Source organism: Homo sapiens, chromosome 2 (genome assembly GCF_000001405.40).
Source record: "Homo sapiens chromosome 2, GRCh38.p14 Primary Assembly".
Taxonomy (NCBI): Eukaryota; Metazoa; Chordata; class Mammalia; order Primates; family Hominidae; genus Homo; species Homo sapiens.
Genome location: NC_000002.12, coordinates 123,778,316 through 123,784,535, shown reverse-complemented (window position 1 = coordinate 123,784,535; position 6,220 = coordinate 123,778,316).

Below are 6,220 nucleotides of genomic sequence, written 5' to 3'. Positions count from 1 at the left end.
GTATGTGTATATATATGTATATATATGTATGTGTATATATATGTATATATATGTATGTGTATATATACACCATAGATTACTACTCAGCCATAAAAATGAATGGAATAATGTTTTTGCAGCAATATTTGTGGAACTGAAGTCCATTATCTTCAGTAAAATGACTCCGAAACAGAAAATCAAAAACCACATGTTCTCACTTAAAAGTGGGAGGTAAACAATGGTACACATGGACATACAGAGTGGAATAGACATTGCAGACTCCAAATGGGGGGAGGGTAGACATTGCAGACTCCAAATGGTGTGAGGGATTATATACCAACTATTAGGAATGATGTACATTATTTGAATGATGGGTACACTAAAAGCTCAGATTTTACCACTGCACAATATATACATGAAACACAGCTACACTTGTACCTCTAAATCCATAAAAATGAAAAATTTAATTTAAAAAAGTGAATGTCATTCCCTGACCCTGAAGGTGAAAATAGCAAGAAAGCAGGTAAGCCTCATGAGATTTGGTGCCTAGCAGAGGTAATGTAATTTCCCCTTGTGAATTCCCCATGTCCCTGGCCCACTGTATATGTCTAGAGTGAATCAACCGTCCAGCCAATATTCAACAGAAAAATCTAAACATAAATGTGAAAAGTCAAGGACAATTATTTTTACTTTGTTTTAGAATAAATGCTAAATCTTACAGCTGCCTCCTTTTAAATAGATAAGGACAGGAAGGAAAAAGAGTAATACTATTCCAAAGGAAAGCTTCTATTATGTTATAGAAACAAAACATAATAAAGGCAGAAGTACATATTTTTTAACAGATTCACTGTAGGGAAGAGAAGTAAACTTTAAACAGCATCTGCTATTATCTCAGTCAAATTTATGGAGCATAGATTCTATAAAATGAAATAAGATAGGATAACAGTGTGAGGTAAAAAGTTAATTGAGAGGTAAGTGGAAATTTACAACAAAGAAGCTAGATAATATAAAGAAAGAATGCTTTAAAACCAAAATGCATCCACATAATTATAAACAATACACATTAAAGATTAAAAAAGAATAATTTAAAAAGCAAATCAGTGATATAGTGGACATTTGTATGTGTGCCTTTAAATTTGGGAGTGTCTAGCCAACAGATGTGCTAGCAGTGACAGGAAACAAGTGTTTGAATATTCAAATAAGTTTGGAAAGCTTTGGATGAAGAACAGTTCACCAGATTTCTCAACTACAGGGCTTCTCAGCCTCGAAATGCTAGTGTGCCTGGTGGTTCTTCAAGGATGATAACAGTATATTCCACTTACCAAATCATTCGACCACAAAGACTTTTAACAAAAATATATCACTTGAGTATATTGTCTGACCTAACATACAGCAAATGCTAAAACACACATATTCTTGTGAAAACCATGACCTTCAAAGTTAAGTAATTAATTCTTTTAGCACGAGACATAAAAAAACGGCAGCACCTTACAGAAAAAATAAAATAACAGTGACATGAGACTTTCCTATAGCATCACTGTCAGGAAAGCAATTAAGTCAATTGAGCATTTTGAGAGGAAAATAATATGTTCCAGAAATGTTCTACCTAGCCACGTTGTCATTCATATGAGAAAGTTACAGAGGACATTCTCAGATTTGAGCAGTATCTGAAAATATAACATCCAACTACTGTCTCATATTTTTGCCTGTCTGTGAAAGATATATACAACTCATTCTAGATATATAAAATAATTCATTTTATTCATTTTGTAATTGAATAAAATCACATATGTTATAGGACTCAATACACGGTACGGTGGTAGGGAAATTGGAGAAGTCATAATACAACAGCCAGAAAGGGAGCCATATACACCTTCTCTTTCAAGCCACCTTAGAAAAATGAGATAGCAGTTTGCTCATGTGGTCATGGCTAAGAGATGAATAAGGGGAACATTATATATTATTATAGTCTATGTATAACTTTAAAGACCCCAGGAAGTGTAGAAGAGGGCCTCTGGGCTTTAATATATCCAATAAGGGTTTGCTGATGACAACTATCTGAGTAAATAACATTGTACTAGGTGCTATGAAAAATATAAAATAGACTGAAAGCAATTTAAGTACATTCCCCTGAGTACTTGAGAGGAGTCAGAGTCTGCAAACAATCATTCCAGATACTTTCCTATATTAATGCCATTTTTTAGCAATTTGAAATGATATAAAAATACATATGTAGCTTTTAAATTGATAGATTAACAACCTTGCAAGCTGTGGAGCACCAGACTGTAAACAGATGGCTCAAGCATAGCCTTGTAGGCTGGTCTCGTTTCCAGTTAGCACTTGGTTTTACAATATCGTGACCATATGCAGTGGTCTCCCCCAACTCTCTTGTTTTTATCTTCCTTTAACAAGATATGACAGTCACAACAGACTTGTTTATTCAAACTGCTTCATCAGAGTCATAATTGATTATAACAAGGTGAGGCAGAGTTTGATGTTGTCAACCCAATTGAAATTTAACGATGATCTGGTGCTAGATATAAGGTGTATATAAATAATAACAATAATAATAGTTTTTCTCTTTTTGAAATGAATTTAGATATTTTGACTACACTCCTTGCTCTGACTTGGATTATAATGTTTTTAAATTATATAATTAAATAACACAGAGATGCAATTTTTAATACAAAACTCTTGGGACCAGAAATATTTCATATATATGAGTTAAGAGTGGGAATACAGTGTATACATAATATATATTATAGTATACCTTCCTATACAAAAAAATAAAACACAAAAAATATTAGTTACCTAAGTGGAAAAACTTAAGATGATAAATACTTCACATCATTTGCAGTCAATTTTCAGCATAAATGAGTTCAGGTAGGGTGAGCTACTTCTATTGCCAATACAAAAATAAAAATAAAGATAAAAGAAAGAAAAGCTTTTAGTTTTCTGAGCTTTATGGATTTCAGAATTTTGTATAAATTGTTGTGGGCCTGTAATACATTTTGGACAACTCTTTCATATTCATGTGTGTACACATATACCTTATTTTATGCAGCAGCTATGTTACTAAGGAATAGTATCTATATAAAAATCTTTTCTTATACATTAAAATGTCAACTCTTTCTTCTCACTTGCAACCAGAACTATACAACCAGTTAACAAGGTGTAGAGGTTTTCTCTCTGAAGGTGTTTAAATTCCTCTAACTTTGCTGACAGAGTGTTTTTCTAAAACACAAATTTATGCACAGAATTTCTCTACATGAAATATGTCTCTAACTTCTCACAAATTCCAGTTGGGAGGTCCAGAACTTCCCTAGAACACAATATACTTTTGTCCCTTGCCTTATCCTCTGCTGCTGCCGGACCATGAACTTCTCACCTCAGTTTCCACTGTGGTTCCGTTCCACGGGTTTGGTTTTCTTCCTACAGTCCACAGTCCTGCTTCTCTTTTCATCTATTTCTACTCATTTAGAGTTATCTTCTCAATCATGTTTGCACACCCCATTTCTGAGCTTCCGTAGAATCTTGCAAATGCATTTATCAAAATACTTAAACATTCAACTGTATATGTTTTTGCTCTTTCTTATCTACCTTTGGTTTTATGTGTACTATTATACATGTACAGCTAATGAAGGTTATTATATGCCAGAAACTATTCCATATTTTTCATTTAATCTACGAGGTTGGTTTCTATCATTAGCTTTCTCATGCTATAGTACAAATAAGAATTCAAAAGTCAAAGAGTAATACCCCAAATCATACATCAAAGAAATAACCAACCCTAAATTTGAATCCAGGTCTTCTCTATCTAAAGCTTGTGACCTTAATTACTATATTATTCTCCTCCACAAATACTCTATAAGTGATCGCTTGATTAGTATTCTCAACCAGAGGATGTGGAAATTGGTTGTAATGGAAATAGCATTATATTTATATAATCCCTAAAAGGATATTTAAAACTGTATATGCTTCCTAAAAATCTTTTATTTTTATTTTTTATTATTATTATAATTTTTCAGACAGAGAGTTTTGCTCTTGTTACCCAGGCTGGAGTGCGGTGGTGTGATCTTGGCTCATGGCAACCTCCACGTCCTGGGTTCAAGTGATTCTCCTGTCTCTGCCTCCTGAGTAGCTGGGATTACAAGCACAACCTCCTAAAAATCTTTTAAATATTCCATGTTTTATGGTGATGCACTGGGTTGTTACAAAACTGACATCAATAAATCACACCTCGCTAAATTCATCCCCTGTGTGTTCCCTTCCACACTGAACCATGGCTGATGTTAAAACTTGCTTAGATAAGGAGAATCTAAGTGTTTCATTGTGAAAGTTGTAATGCTTGGCCTTAAGAGGCATTGTACTTTATGCTTTGGTTCTGCGGTTGCTCTGAGATTTCATTTAAAAAAGCTCAGACTAGCCCCCTAAAGGATGAGAGGCCACATGAAGAGACAAGCCCTGGAAAATAAAAGAATTAAAAAATAGAGAGAGGTCCAGCCAGATCCCAGCCTTGCCAATCATACCAGCTGAGACAGTAGATTTTTGAATGAGGCCATCTTGCATGTTCCAGACAATCACTAGAAATGCATGAGTGAGCCAAATAGTATAGAGGTAAAATACACAGTTAAGACTGAATGCAAAACTGTGAAGATACAACTGGTAGTTGTGGTTTTAAGCTACGGAGTTTTGAGCTGTTTTTTATGTGTTGTTACAGTAATTGCTGTCAGTAAATGAAGTGTTGACCTAACAAAAACCTAAAATGTGGCACTGGCTTTGGGACCAGGAGGTGGGTAAAAGTTGAAAGAATGGTGATAAAACTGTTATTAGAGACTTGAAAAAGGGCAACCAGTGAAAAATAGTGGCAGAACAATTGGCAAATTGTTTTTTGTGGTAGCTTAGAAGCTAGAATATAAATTTAATTGATGTGTGAAACTAGCTAATGAGGTTTCCAGACGACCTACTGAAAGTGGCAGGTTTTTTTGTTTATTTGTTCGTTTTGGCTGCATAAATGATGCATAAAACATAAATAAACTTATTTAAAAACTGTTTAATTTTCTAATCTAATGTATTTTTGATATATTAAAAAAACCGTGAAGTTCTAGAATGTACCGAGTTGGAAATACAGCTATTTCTCATCTCCACTCATCTAGAAAATATTCCCAAGGTGAGAAATGGCCCTGAGACAAAAAATAAATTAAAAGTAGCAGAAAACTTTTTTTTAAGATTCTGAATACGTAAAAAAAGTCCATTAGAACTTCACAGCTTAAGAAAAGAAAAAATAAATAAATGAGGGTTTTATAAGAATAGAATGTCATGCCACAGCAACATCACACATGAACAAAGTAGAGAGATGGTTTCCAAAACAATTATAGCTATGTCTATCAAGGAATGAAGAAAATCTCAATCATAGTCCTAGAGCCAAGCTTCAAGAAATCAGAGCCCGAGCCATTTACAATGTAGTAAAAAAGGACTCACAAGGGAAAAAAAAATAGATGTTTATCAAGGACCATACCCTGCTGTCAAGGTTGAGCAAACTGGCAATGTATGCCAGGTTGAATTACAAAATTGCTACAAATCAGTGATTGCTATGTGATCCCATTCTTCCTGTTTTTTAATGTGTCTGATGATTATGCTGTCCTTGTCCCATCGTTGTGTATTGGGTGAAGGGATGATATAGATAACTTGTTTTTCTAATTTGTAGATCTCTGGATTAAGAGGAGTTGTACTCAAGAAGTCTATCTACATATAGGTCAGATTCAGATCATGGTATCCTAATTTTGAGCATGATGCCATAATTAGGTAAAACTTTCATGGTCCTAAGAGTGAAGGAGTATTTTTTTTTTTTTTTTTTTTGGCAACAGGATCTCACTTTGTTATCCAGGCTGAAGTGCAGTGGTATGATCATGGCTCATGGCTCACTGTAGCCTCAAGCTCCCGGGCTCAAGAAATTCTCCTACCTCAGCCTCCTAAGTAGCTTGGACTACAGGTGTGCACTGCCACATCCAGTTATTCTTACTGTAGAGATGAGGTTTTCTATGATGCCCAGGCTGGTCTCAAACTCCTGGGCTCAAGCAATCCTCCTCCCTTGGCCTCTCAAAGTGCTGAGATTACAGTCATGAGCCACTGTGCTGGGCCAGAATGAGTACATTTTTAAGGATGAAGATATATAAAGAATTCTAGTGAGAGAGGGTTTAAAGTAGATTTCAATATTTGGTCACAAATTCTTCCCAATTTC